Consider the following 14,069-nt stretch of genomic DNA (forward strand, 5'->3'; position numbering starts at 1 on the left):
TCTGAGACTGGGAGCTGCATAAGGGCAGAGCCTCGGTCCACCTCGCACTCCATCGTGGTGTCCTCAGAACCTCACAGGTGCTCAGCCACTCAAAAATATTTGCTGAATGAATAGAATAAAACTAAAAGTTAAGGGAGAAAAAAACCCTGAAGATACTGAGTTTCCACTAATAATTTAAGACAAGATGATGTAGCAGGAACACAATCAATGAATGCTAAATGAATGGATACTTGGCCTAAAGGGAAATGCTGTGGGGTGAAGGTAAGGCTGGGATGCTAGGTAGGGGGGCATGGTATTCTCTGTTCTCTAGGGAAGATGCTCAGAACATTCCTTTATCAGGGCATCCCAGCTCTCCAACACAGCACAGAAATTCCACAGCACAGATGTCCTGCATGATATTCCAGTTTCCAGGGGCCATCTCCTGACCCACCCACTGTTGTGTGTGTGATGGGTTGGTTTTACACCAAGGATCATGTTCTTTATCGGAGAGATAAGGCTGTAGTCTAGGGGATGGTGACAGCCATTCCCCAGGGCTAACTTTACCCCACATACTAACTTCTCCCATCTTGTTGTCCTGGATGGAAGAAATATCCTCTGTCATAAAGAATTATTCTGACACTTGTTAAAAATTGCAAGACTTTATTTGGGATTATTGCAGCAGGGGAGAGAGATTGAACTCAACTTGGAATATACCAGGGGCAAGCAGGAATTTACAGAAAGCAGGGAGAAGGGGTGGAGGGAAAATTACTGGGAGGAGTTTGGGTAGGAATCAGGGGTGGAGGAAGAGGAGTTTGATCAGCTATCAAGGATAGGAAGATTTTCATCAACTGAGTTAGTAGGATTCTTTGCTAAAACTGGGCTTAGCCTGCTAAGGACAGACCAAGGCCAAGATCTAGGTGGAAAGAGGGTTCAGAGGAGCCTGGTTAAAATTTTATCAAGGAGACAGTCTTTGCCACCCTTGACGAGAGAAAGGCTTGCCTGAGGCACAGGTTTGCGTGGGCACGGAAGGGAAAGAATGATTTGAGTGAAGCACTGTGGAGTGCCTCAGAGGGTTCTCAGGCTCCCAGGGAGATAAGCCAGGACTGTGGGTTAGGGGAAAGATCTAGAAGAGGTGGCAGGAAAAAGCTGGGCCCCAGGGATCCTGGTGTGTAGCCCAACACAGACATTTTCCCGGTGAATAGAGGATATACCTACAGCACTCCAGCTGTGAGACCCCAGTGAGCTGCAGGCACTGCCACTCAGAGGGAGGAGCAACAACAGGCAGGGGCCGTAGCCTGGGGCAGGGCAGCAGCTCTGAGCCTGCAGAGGTGGCATCAGCAGCCAGAGGCAGATGTGCTTGGGAACCTCAAGGTGGAGAAGGAGGGCTGCCACCGACCACCAGCAGACACCCTGGGGGGCCGATGAGTCAGTGGAGGTATCTGGGGGGACAGTGGTGGCCCCTCGGGAGTTCTGTGAGCTGGGCTAGAGCCAGAGAGTACGGAGCTAAAGCTGTTGGGTCCCATTCTTGGGTCACAGCCCCCAGGTGGGCTTGGACTTCTGGAGCTTGGCCTGCATCCCTGAAGTCCTGGAGAGTAATAACAGACAGTCAGGTCGGAGGCCGAGGCCTGGCTCAGTGTTCATGATTAAGGACAGAGTGCATTACTTTCCCCGGACTTACCATCCTATGGCATCAGCGTGGATGAATGCTTTACTTTAAAAACCTGTTTGAAAAAGGCAAGTCTTCATGCCATTTCTGCCCAGGTGTTCCATTTTTGGGAACTTTGCCAAAGTAAATAATATTAAACAGAAAACAAGCTTTATGCACGAAGATGTTTATTGCAGTGGTACTTATATGAGCACAGAACTGCAAACAATACAAATGTCCCACCACAGGGAACGATGATTAAGTTCTTTCATAACCCACTCGAAGTATTTACTCAACCATTAAAAGTGATTCTTACACATTCTATAGCAACAAGGAGAAATGTTTAAAATGAGCAAAAAAGTGGGAAACATAACTGCATATATACTATGTCTGTGTACAAGTAAATAAAAATTCAAGTATTTCTGCATACAAGAAAATAAAATTGAAGAACTTCAGAGTTCCAATAGATTTAAACGTTCCTCTGTTAACCAGGAAACCTGTCTGTCCCGCACCTCCTAACTCCAGATCATACTCTACAAGGCAGCACCCCTGCATGGCTCAGGTCAGTACACATGTCATTGAGGCATCTGGCCAGTAAGGATACTTGCTTGCACCAAGTGACCCTGACAGGCTCCACTGGTCAATATGAGTTAGGTTAGTGCAGTAACAACTAACCAAGAAATGTCAGTGGCTCCAAACAGCGCGGGTCTGTTCCTCACTCAGGTTACATGTCCAGAGTGGCTCAACTGGGCACTCTGCTCCTCACTGTCTTCACTCAGAATGCAAGCTGCTGGGCCTGGAGGTTTGTGGGTCCCCCTTGCAGATTGTAGAGGGGCAAGAGATGTAAAGTGGCTCCCATCCATAATTAAATGCTCCATCCTGGAGGCAGCTCACATCACTCCCACTCACACCCCACTGGTCAAAATCAGTCACATGGCCTTCCCCACTGAGGAGGCTGGCCTGCTCTGTGCTGGGAAGGAGAGAGGGACTGGCTACCTCAGGGCACAAGGGCCCCGAGGGCTACATTGGCCACAAGGGCCTGCTGTGAGCTGAGTGCTGCCAGGAGATCCCTTGGGAAAGTTTCCTGGTGTCTATGGCTCGGTGTCACCCTTCAATGCCCTGACCATGGCCTAAGAAAGGCAACACTATACATGAGGTCCCAGATGCACCTTGAAACCACAGCAAATGACTCAACTGCCATCCTTATTTTCCGTTTTCCAGGTTCAAAATGGAGATATTTACCTTCTACAAAATTATTGCTTCTGGGGCACTTTACAGAGTGGGAAACATGTTCACACCCAGGCGGCCCAAGGGCCATGCCTGCTGCTGAGCTACACGGTGCCACGTCCAGAGAGCCTCTCCATCTAGGCTTGCTCTCCCCCCAGAGCTAGCTGCCTTGTCTGCAGGGACCAGCTATTCCCCAGAAAGAAAAATAAAGTTCTAATCAGAAGTAGTGAGGATTAATTTACTAAGCTTTATTTCATTCTTGGCACTATTAGGACGACAAAGTTTACAAATAAATGAATGAGTAAAGCAGAAGCAAGATGAAAGCATTTGTAACAAAAGCACTGTGTCTGTGACAGCTGAGGAGTCTGTCTCTGAGTCTCTCTCTCTTTCTCTCTCTCTTTCTCTGTCTCTCTTTCTGTGTGTGTCTTTTTCTTTCTTTGTTTCTCTCTGTGTCCATCTGTCTCTCTCTCCGTCTCCCTCTCTCATTGGTCCCACCTCTGTCCCACAACCATGATAGTAACGGATTTATTTTTGCTTCAATGTTATGTTGTCAGCATGATGATTAACTTTTCCTATCAAACATGCTTGAACTGAGATATATCCCTGCCCACTGTCATGCCAGGCTGAGCTCTGAGAGATTTATCAGGAGGAGGAACCTGGGGGTGGAGAGGGCCATGTTAGTTTTGGATAGCTACGAAGCTTAGTGGATTAAAACAATGCAAACCTGTCATCTCAGTTTCCAGGGTCCAAGATTCCAGGTGCAGTGGGGTGAGGTCCTCTGGCCAGGGTTACCCTGGACTGAAATCATGGTGGGAGCTGGCTGGCTCATTTGAATGGTTGGCAGAATCCAGCACCTTGTGGTAGTAGCACTGAGGTACCTGCTTCCTTGAGGACTGTCAACCAGAGGCCACACTCAGCTGCTAGAGACCCGGAAGGCAGTCCCTGGCCCTGTGGTGCCCTCCAGGGGTGTGGCTGCTTGCTTTCTCCCAGACCAACAGGAAAGCTTTGGAGGTGTTCCCGTTAAGGTCTCACCTAATAAAGTCAGGCCCACTTAGGATAATCTCCCTTTTTATTAAATCAAAGCCAAATGATCAAGGACTTCAATTCTAGCTGCCCAGGCCCCTTTGTCAGGTACAGTAACCTGATGACAAGGGTGATTCCGCAGCGTATTCACGGGTCCTGCCCATAGCCCAGCGAAAGAAATTAAATGGGTGTTGACACGCAGGGGCAGGAATCTTGGGGCCATTTTAGAATCTGCCCACCACAGGTGTCCCCTCTTCCAAGGTCAATGGATTCACAGTTAGAGGAAGCCTCCAGACCACACACACTAAGCTGTCCTGGGCAGCTGCAAAGAACCATGTTTTCAAGGAGAGTTCTTTCTTGCCGGGAGGGCTTGGTCAGGAGAGGGGCCTTCTGCAGTTCCCAAGGCAGAGGGCTGGAGCAGAGAGGAGATGGATTTCTCATTTGCAGGCGCTGTACCTCCTTCCCTGTGCATCTTCCTAAGGAAGTGCAGGGGCGGGGGAGCAGGGCAGCCTGTGGGAGGGCAGGGCTGGGAGATTAGGGCAATGCCACACACAGAGGGGCAGCAGACCTCAGACCCCTGGGGCAGCCACACTAATATTTTCTTCTCCCCAGTCAGGGGAAACAGAGGGCAGGAGGCCCTGGAAATGATAGCATATGTGTGTGGGGCCTTGGCACACAGCGTGAGGGGTGTCAGAGAACTCTCCCCACTTTGGATACAGATGCCCTGGCCTTGGTCCAGGGGCCATCACTTGGAGGCATGCCCCACTCAACTCCCTGTCAGCAGGGCTTCCGAACAGGGACCACGGCCCAGTGGTCAGAATTCAGGTCTCTGTGAGGCTGAAACCCATGTGGGACCTGAAAGTCAATACTGAGTCTCAGTGACTGTCCTGGGGCTGGAGCTGGGAACTTGGGTTCTCTCTCACTGTTGGCCTCGGGCAGGTCACTGAGCCTGGCTGAGCCTCAGTTTCCACCTCAGAATATGGGGGTAGGTGCAGGATGGAGAGAGACCTTTATGAGAGCAAGTTTTCTGATGGCCACATATAGTTGATGTGTTCCACATGCCTTTTGCTCCCGGAGACCACACTGCAGATCTGTGTGGCAGTGACCTGCTCCGCTCCGCTGGGGAGAAGTCGAGTCTGCCTGAACTGGTTTGAAAGATCGATCTCTCCTCTGCCTGCCTGTGTCTGCCATCTCTTGCATACAATTAGGACAGCCTTTACCAAACAGAGTCAAGGAAACCAAAAGTGACTCTCCTTCCACCCCACCATGAGTGGAAGCTCCCTAAGGTCTTTATCAGAAGGAGATGTTGGTGCCACACTTCCTGTACAGCCTGCCGAACCATGATCCAAATAAACCTCTTTTCTTTGTAAGTTACCCAGCCTCAACTATTCCTTTATAGCAATGCAAATGGACTAAGACAGTGACCTTGGATAAACCAGGGCCGTACTCTGAGCCTCAGTTTCCCCATTTCAAAATGAGGAATTTGGGCTGGTCCTACAATATCCACTACGTAGCCTAAGGTCTAGGGATAAGCCCACTTGATTCTGGGACAGCCTGCTGTGATTTTTTTTTTTTTTGACAAAGTCTCTCTCTGTTGCCCAGGCTGGAGTGCAGTGACGTGATCTTGGCTCACTGCAAACTCTGCCTCCCTGGTTCAAGTGATTCTCCTGCCTGAGCCTCCCAAGAAGCTGGGATTAAGGTGCCCACCATGATGCCCAGATACTTCTGGTATTTTTAGTAGAGATGGGGTTTCACCATGTTGGCCAGGCTGGTCTTGAACTCCTGACTTCAGGTAATCTGCCTGCCTCGGCCTCCCAAAGTGCTGGGATTACAGGCGTGAGCCACCATGCCCCGCCCCTTTTTAAACTAAGTTGTCTAGCACCAGCACTTAGTGGGCCCCAATATCTCCCTTACTAAAACTAGGCTGAATAATGAGAAAGTCTCTGGGGAAGCCCCTCAGGTTGGGTAAGGATGGAGGGTCAGCAAGAGCAGACGGCGTATGACAGAGTTCATCACTGAAGACAACCTCCCGAGGCAAGCAGGGGTCTCTGCCTGAGGCTTCCCAGGGCTCCCCACCCACTACTGGACACTTCCGCCTGTGCTGCAGCCCATCTCCCTGTCATCTGCATGGAGTTTCTGGGGGTTTCTGGGGCCTGTGCAGGGGACCCAGTAGAATGCTCACCTTGGGGCTGTGGGGCAGACACAGCTGGGCTCTGATGCAAATTGTGTGAACCAGAAATCCCAGCCCTGGCTTCCCGGCCTGGCATTGCTGCTGTGGGACCTGGGGACCACCACCTGTCTTTCCAAAGTCAGTTTCCTCATCTGCAAAATGGAGCCAATGAAACCAGTTTCTCCTGGGTAGACTGAGAATGAACTAATCCAAAATGGACTGGGTGTTATGGGCTAAATTGTGACCTTCCCCCCAAACAAATTCATACATTGAAGTCCTTAACTCCAGTGCCTCAGAATGTGGCTGTATGTGGAGATAAGGCTTTTAAAGAGGTGACTAGGTTAAGATGAGGTCAGTAGGGTGAGTCCGAATCCAATATGACTGATGTCCTTATAAGAAGTGATTAGGGCACAGATGGACACAGCAGTAAGACCGTGTGAAGGCACAGGGAGAAGGCGACATCTCCAAGCCAAGGAGAGAGGCTTCAGGACAAATCTACCCCGCCGACACCTTGATCGCAGGCTCCAGGGCTCTAGAATTGTGAGAAAATAAATGTCTATGGTTTAAGGACGGTCTGTGGTGTTTTGTACGGCGGCGCTTGCACACTAATAGATGGGAGATTGGTTTTGCATTAGGCAAAGGGGAAAACCCTGGAGGAGGGTGCTCTGCCTTGCCGCTCCTCCTGAGGCCCCCAGCCTGGTGTTCCCAGGCCTGCCCCATGGCCTGTAGTGCTCTGTATCCAGTGCAGAACAGCCAGCCATGCCACTGGCAGGGGAGTCCACGGGTCCAGGGCAAAGTTGTTTTGATTGTAGGCAACTGCCGAGAGGCTGCGAATGCCGCCAACTTGTCTAACATGATTCTGCGAGAAATGTTGACTCTAAATTACAAGGACTTAATTTTTCCAACCACAGCTAGGCAGTAAATGACTCTCTGAAATGACAGATGGAAAGTTCAGTTAATATGTTTATCTTCTGGCTCAAAGTGGCCCGCCTCCCCCAGCACTGCTCGGGCCAGCCTACATGGAGTGGGGAGGAGCTTCTAGATGCCCCGACGTGCCCCCTGGACCTAGACCCCCAAACCTGCCCTGGACGTGGGGTCACTGTGGTATGCAGGGCAGGAAGGCTGTGAGAGCCCCAGGGTCTATGTGCCTCTTGGAAAAGTTAAAGGAGCTAACCTGCAGTGACAATGGCCTGGCTTTGTCCCCAAGGGGACAAATCACAGGACCTCATCTACCAGGTCGTACTCAGAATCGTCATCCAAAACTCTCCCTACTGGTCTCTCAGGAACAGGGTCATAATTTTAATACCCAGGATCTACATAATGTTTTCTACAGGACCGACACTGAACAACCTGAGGATGTGGGTGCTATCAGTGTCCTCATTTTATTATTGAGTAAATGGAAACAAAGAGAGGTTAAGCAACTTGCTCAAGGTCACGGAGGCAGTCAGTGCTAGAAATGGGATTCAAACCAGGGCAGGCTGGCTCCATAATGCATGCCTTTGATCACTGTGGCATCACCCCCAGAGAGGTTTGCTGAGGGAGATGCTGTGGGGAAGGGACCCGTACCAGCTACTTGGCAAGGCCTGTCGCCATGGAGCTCTGAGGCTCCTGCCTCTCTACAGACACCAGCATGGCAGGCTTGGGTCCAGACTGGGCTGGGCACCAGGTCACACCTCAGCCACTGATCCCAGGAGGAAAGGGTAGTACGAAACTCACCACCCTCTTCCAACCCTCTCACCTGACAGCCACATGCCCCTTGGCCCCATCCCTGCCTCTGCTGTCCTGGGAGCTCTGACACAAGCACCCACAGGATGTCACAGTCCAGAGGGTCTGCCAGAGATGGGGAAGGTGAGCACTGAGGCATCTGATCCTGGCCCACAGCCCTGGCCTCTACGTAGGAAGAGGACACCTTCCCTGTCAATGTCTTCCCCTACCCTCTCCCACTCTCCATGCAGCCCTCTGTGATGCAGGGTGAGGGTGTGTCCCACCTGTGCAACCCTATACCCTCAGGCCAGTCTCCTCCACCCCACATCCCTGGACCCAGATGTGGATGTCAGGGTGAGTTCAGGGCCACACCATCCCTCAGGACCTCCGCTCCCCGGCAAGGGCTCCAGGCTGCTGCCCACGTGGTTGCTGCTGCTCCAGCTGGTTGGATCATTGGCCAGCACCGGTATGATGAGCTGGAGTCACAGGATGACTTGGGGGCAGCTCCTAGTCTGAGAAGCCCCCATGTTAGCAGAGAGAGATGGCGAGATCACCACAGTCCTCTGCAGGGTGGGCCCGCAAATACATCAGAGCGCAGAGCACGGGCTGGAAGCCTGAGGCCTGTGAGGAGAGGTGGCCTTGCCAAGCCCCCACCTAGGCCGAGCCCTCAAAATGAGAAGAGAGGGGGAATTAAGGAGAATCTCAGGAACAGCTTGAGCAAGAAGAAGAAATGGTGTGGTGTGCGTAAGGAAGCCAGGAGTGGAGCTGCGGGGGCTAGGGAGACAGGGACAGGCAGACGAGGCTGCAGGGGTGGCTAAGGTCTCACCAGATAGCCTTCAGGGAGAGTCCCACATGCCATGTGGAGGAGCTTGGGCCTCATCCTTTAGGGGATGCAGTCACTTTTTAAAATTGTGGTAAAATACACATAACATAAAATATACCATGTTAGCCATTTTTAAATTCAGTGGCATTAAGTGTATTCACATTGCTGTGCAACCATCACCACCATCCATCTCCATCACCCCAAACTGAAACTCTGTTCCCATTATACAACAACCCCCAGCCCCCAGCCCCTGACAACTTTCATTCTTTTTTCCATCTCTATGGATTAAACTGCTGTGGGTAAGGGACGCAGTCGCAACCTGGGAAAGGGGACACTGTGAGTGGTTGGTCCCTCCAACCGCTATACCTGCAGAGTAGAAAGTAAGTTGGACAAAGACCTCACTGGCAGCCACTGCAAAGGTCCAAGCCAAAGACAAGGGATGCTTGCTTGAGGTGGTGGCTGCCAGTTGGTGCCCTGCCTGGAGGACAGGAGACCTGGGTTTGAATTCTAGTTCAAGTTCTCAGAGGCTTGTGGCTCTTCACAAGTTCTCAGCCTCCTGAGTGCTCATTACCGTACATGAGATGAGAATGACAATACTCTCTTTGTGGAGTTGACTTTAGGTACTGAGGATAATAATATTAATAGCAAATATTGACCATGCTCTGCCCAGCACCAAGTTTTTCACCAAGTGATGAGATGATGAAGACCTGTCTCTTATCAGCCTTGAGGCCTTACAGAGAGAGCAACTCTAAGGCGAAGAAACTGAGACTTGTTGAGTTCAGGGCTTATTGCCTAGGATTTGCAGCAGAGAGAACCTTAACCCAAGGTCCAGCACAGAGGGGATGCTCCACACATGTGAGTTGACTTCCAACCCCTCTGTAAAGTTAAGCCAACCGTAGTGCCCAGTTCATGTATCAGCCAGTCCGGTGGATAATACTTTCAACTTGCAGAGTTTCCCAGGAGTTCAAAGTGGCCTCAAGACAGATCCATTTCAGCATAATCAGAGCCCCCACAGGAGGCTGCGGCTTCTGAGAGGACTCTGCTGGCTCTGCCACTCATTAGAATCTGTGTGGAGGCCTTTGCCTGAGGCCAGCTGACTGCCCAGAGGCTGCTCTGCTTACCCTGGGAACGTGGGGGTGCAGAGCTCCTACAGGCGCCTGAGAACAAGAATGTCACAGGGGTTTTTGTTGAGCAGCCCCAGACACCATCCTCATTTATTATGCTCATGGCTGTTGGGTCTGGAATTCAGTCAGAGCACAGTAGGATGGCTTGTCTCTGCTCCATAAGGTCTGCAGCCTCTGCTGGGATTCCTAGAATAGCTGGGTGTGACTTGACCGCTGGCAGCAGGAATCATCTGATGACCTCTTCACTCAGCTCCTATGTGTGGCGTCTCCATGTCACCTTGTCTTCCTCATAAGATGGCGGCCACATGGATAATCAGTTCAGGCCTCTAGCACTACTATTCAAGTGGTTAAGGAGGAAGATGTATTGCTTTATTTTTTTTTACAAGCTCATAAAATTCAAGAGGATGGAACATGGAGTCTGTCTATGTGAGGGTTGCAAAGTCACATTGTCAAAGAGCATGTAGGATGGAAAATATTGTTGTACTCTTTTTTGGAATATAAAACCTGCCACAAAGTGAATAGCAGATAAATTGAAATACATATACCCAGTTGAAATTTTCTTCTTCTTCCCTCTGCAGAATTGACACTGATCCTCCTTCTCCAAAATCAGGTTTTCAGCACAAGGACGAAAGCAGGCAACAGCAGCAATCTGCTCAAAGAAAGCTCTTTTGCAGGCACATATTCTTGTGCATATTTAAAATATGACATCCCAGACTCTGTGAAAAAAAATTATTTCTTCCATCTTTCCTACAGGGTAATTTCCAAAATCAGACTGTTTCTTGATCTAAGTTGAAAACTAAAAGAAAAACATTAGGCCCTAATCTCCATCAACAAATTTGTTCCAGCCAAGAACTCCCAGGTTCTACTGGGTTCATTTCTGTAGGAATTTGGGCAAGTAAAAACAGACTGTTTTTCAACTCAGGATCTTCATCTATTTCATTGGAATAGATGTCATATTTTCTAAAGGGAGGGTGAGATGTTTCATTCAAGGCATGTAAAATGAAGTGGGGAGCAGAGAATGTAAATTCTGTTTGTTCTATTTATTCTGAACATGTTAGAATAAATAAAATGCTGGATGCTGAAATGTGTGTTTGTTTATTGAAAAATTTTAAAGAAATTTAAAATGCCATTTGTCCTATCTCTTTAATTAGAGATGAAGGCAGGGGGCTGGGAATGTTGAGGTTAACTGAGAACAGGGTCCAACTGTCCTCAGTCTAAACAGAAGGGAAAAATAAGTGTAAGCACCCAAAAAAGCATTTGATTATTTTTCTTTAAATGCAAATAATATTTTTGGCCAGGAGAGCATTGAGGACAGGCTTTTGCCTTCAGCAAATAAAAAATCCTGTTCAAGACCCAAGACCCAGGCTGGACTCACCACCAATTTCGTCTTTTAAAAAATTCTTATGACTTATTTGAGCACTTCCATGCCATCAAAACTGGTCTGGGATCTTTGGTTAACATCTGGAAGAAATGTATGTTGACAAATGCCAAAAACAACTTTTAAATATCAATCCTCTAGAAGAAGCAATGGAGAGGGAGGGATTCTTGAGAAAGGGTGGAAAAATCAAACTCATTTCATTGGTTTAGAGAGCAGCCTAACTTCTAATCCATCCCCTGATGCTGATGTCATGTAATCAGGTGGTGCATTTCCCCAGCTTCCCTCCCCTCTGTATCATCGCTGTCAGAAGATGAACCTCTGAAAAGAGAGGTGGGGGTCCTCTCCTGTCTTTTGTCATGGTTATGTCTATGATGAACATAACTATGGTGACGGGTCCTTGGCTTCTCTAGGATTTCTGAAGGAACAGCATTTACCTCAGCCAGTGGAGCTCAGAAGGAGGAGAACATCCCAGGGAAAACTAGACAGGAAGCAGACTGAGCATCCAGAGTGGGCTGCTCTCAGAACACTTTGTTCCAGCAGCCTTAGCGACCTGTCCTTCAGTTTGTACTTGAATGCCTGCTGAGATGGCGAACCCACTGCCTCCTAAAATTTTCTGTTCCATTAGGAGTCTTTGCTGGGCAGCTCTTCTTAATACTAAGCTGAAATATAAGCCCCTTCAAATTATTTGTGGGATGAAGTGAAGTGAATAAATAAGTACTAAGTTGAATCTTTCTCATTTGTATCCACTGTGTATGTTGTACCCCACCTTCTACCCCAATCTTTACAGAAGAAATCCAAGACAGTAAAACAGAAGAACGAGTATTTGCCTGTAACTATCTGTGTCAGAGGTTCTCTGGTGAGGTGCCAGAGCACCCAGGACCAGCACACAAGACACAGTCATACACTGAGATGGAGGACAAGGTACAGCATGCTGTGACGACAGCATAAAGAGGCCTGGAGCAAGTCAATGGGTACCACGTCTACTGTAATATGTGAGGACTATACCTCAAGACTGTGAATCCAATGGGAAATGGAAAGATTTTATCCACACACTGCTGCATTGCTGAAGAACAATGAAGTGGACATGGGAGAAACAGGTGTAGAATGTAATTCCTTTCCATGTTTGAGGCACACTTTCAGTATTCATATCACACAAGGCTTTGGAGACCACTGTAGAGATGTTGCTCTCGCTTTGTAGGAATGGAAGCCATTGGCGAGTCTTGGGCATAAAAAGTGATGTGATCAGGTTACACTGTGAGAGGATTACTCTGGATGCTGTGAGAAGAACTGGTTTAGGGAGCAAAGCGGGATCAGGAACTAGAAGTCAGCTACAATGATCTAGGCAAGAGTTGATGTGGCTTAGACCATGCCAACTTGGGCCATCTTCAGCTGCACGAGTCCGTGAAGGCACATCTGTCTAGCTGAGCACATTGTCACCTGCATGCAATCAGAGTTCTTATAAGGAGCAAGACATATTAGTCAGGGTTGTCCAGAGAAACACAACTATATATATATATATATATATATACGTGTGTGTGTGTGTGTATATATATATATATGTATTATATATATGTGTATGTGTGTGTGTGTGTGTGTGTATATATATATATATAGAGAGAGAGAGAGAGAGAGTGTTTCTTATGATATGAAAGGGGCTCACACAATTATGAAGACTGAGAAGTCCCAGGATCTGCAGTTGGCAAACTGGAGTCTCAGGAGAGCTGGTGGTGTAGTTCCAGTTTGAAATCAAAGGCCTGAGAACCAAGGGACTGAATGTAGTTCCAGTCCAAAGGCCAGTAGGCTCAAGATCTAGGAAGAGCTGATGTTTCTGTTGAAGTCCAAAGGAGAGGACCTATGTCTCAGCTCAGGGCAGTCAGGGAAAAGGAGTTCCCTCTTACACTCGGGAGGGTCAGTCTTTCTGTTGTATTCAGGTCTTCAAATGTTTGGATGGGGTCCACCCGCAATAGGGAGGGCAATCTACTTTATTCAGTCTACCCATTCAAATACTAATGTCATCCAGAAATATCCAGAATAATGTTTGACCAAATATCTGGGCACCCTGTGGCCCAGTCAAGTTGACACAAAAAATTAACCATCACAGAAGGTGAGAAAGGATATAGGCTAGGTGGCTTCAGCATCTGCCAGAGCTCCTGTGTGCCTCTGGTTCCAGATTTGATTCTTTTTCTACCAAAAGGAATTAAGACACTTGGTCCCAAATCTCAGGACAGAAAAAATATTGAGTATGGACAACCTCAATGCCAGAAAACAAGACTGTTTTAAAAATGACAGTAAGTTGCTGTTGAAAGGACAAAGGTATCAGTTTGAAGGGTCCCATCGACCAAGCAGAGCATGAAAAATAAAATAATACTCAAAGTTAGCTGAAACAAGTTGATTTTGTGAAAGATCATGGATTTACAACAATATTTGAAAAAGCAAAGTTAATATAATGTGTGCAAAAGAATGCACATGTTAGGATTTGTTTAGTTTTATTGCTTTAATAAATAGAAAAGTACTTATGTTTGTATTTACATTTTTCTATTGAGCATATATCCATTTACAAAGTATAGAGTTATCTTTCTCACTATCTCTGTGCATAAGAAAGAATAAACACAAGGAACTATAAATAAACTAAAATCCCCCAAAACATGCATAGTATAGGGAATCAAACAATTGATTGCTCTCGTGATCCTACACAGCAACCAATTAAACAGGGAATTTCACAGTGTTCTAAGATGATTAATTAGCTAAACATTGCACACACTCCATCTCTCATCTCTTAGTAGATGGAACCTCAAGATGACCCCACTAATTATAATGTAATATTGATAAGGCATGCATAAGTTTACAATTAATATTTATAGACTAGGCCAATTCATCATAATGACAGGACAATAGTTTAGGTACTGCCAGCTAGCCATAAGAAACTTTTTACAATACATCATTTCTGGGAAAGACACCAAGTTTTAAAAAATTAAATCTTTGAATTTAGCTTTTGA

This window comes from Homo sapiens, chromosome 10 (assembly GCF_000001405.40).
Source record: "Homo sapiens chromosome 10, GRCh38.p14 Primary Assembly".
Classification (NCBI taxonomy): Eukaryota; Metazoa; Chordata; class Mammalia; order Primates; family Hominidae; genus Homo; species Homo sapiens.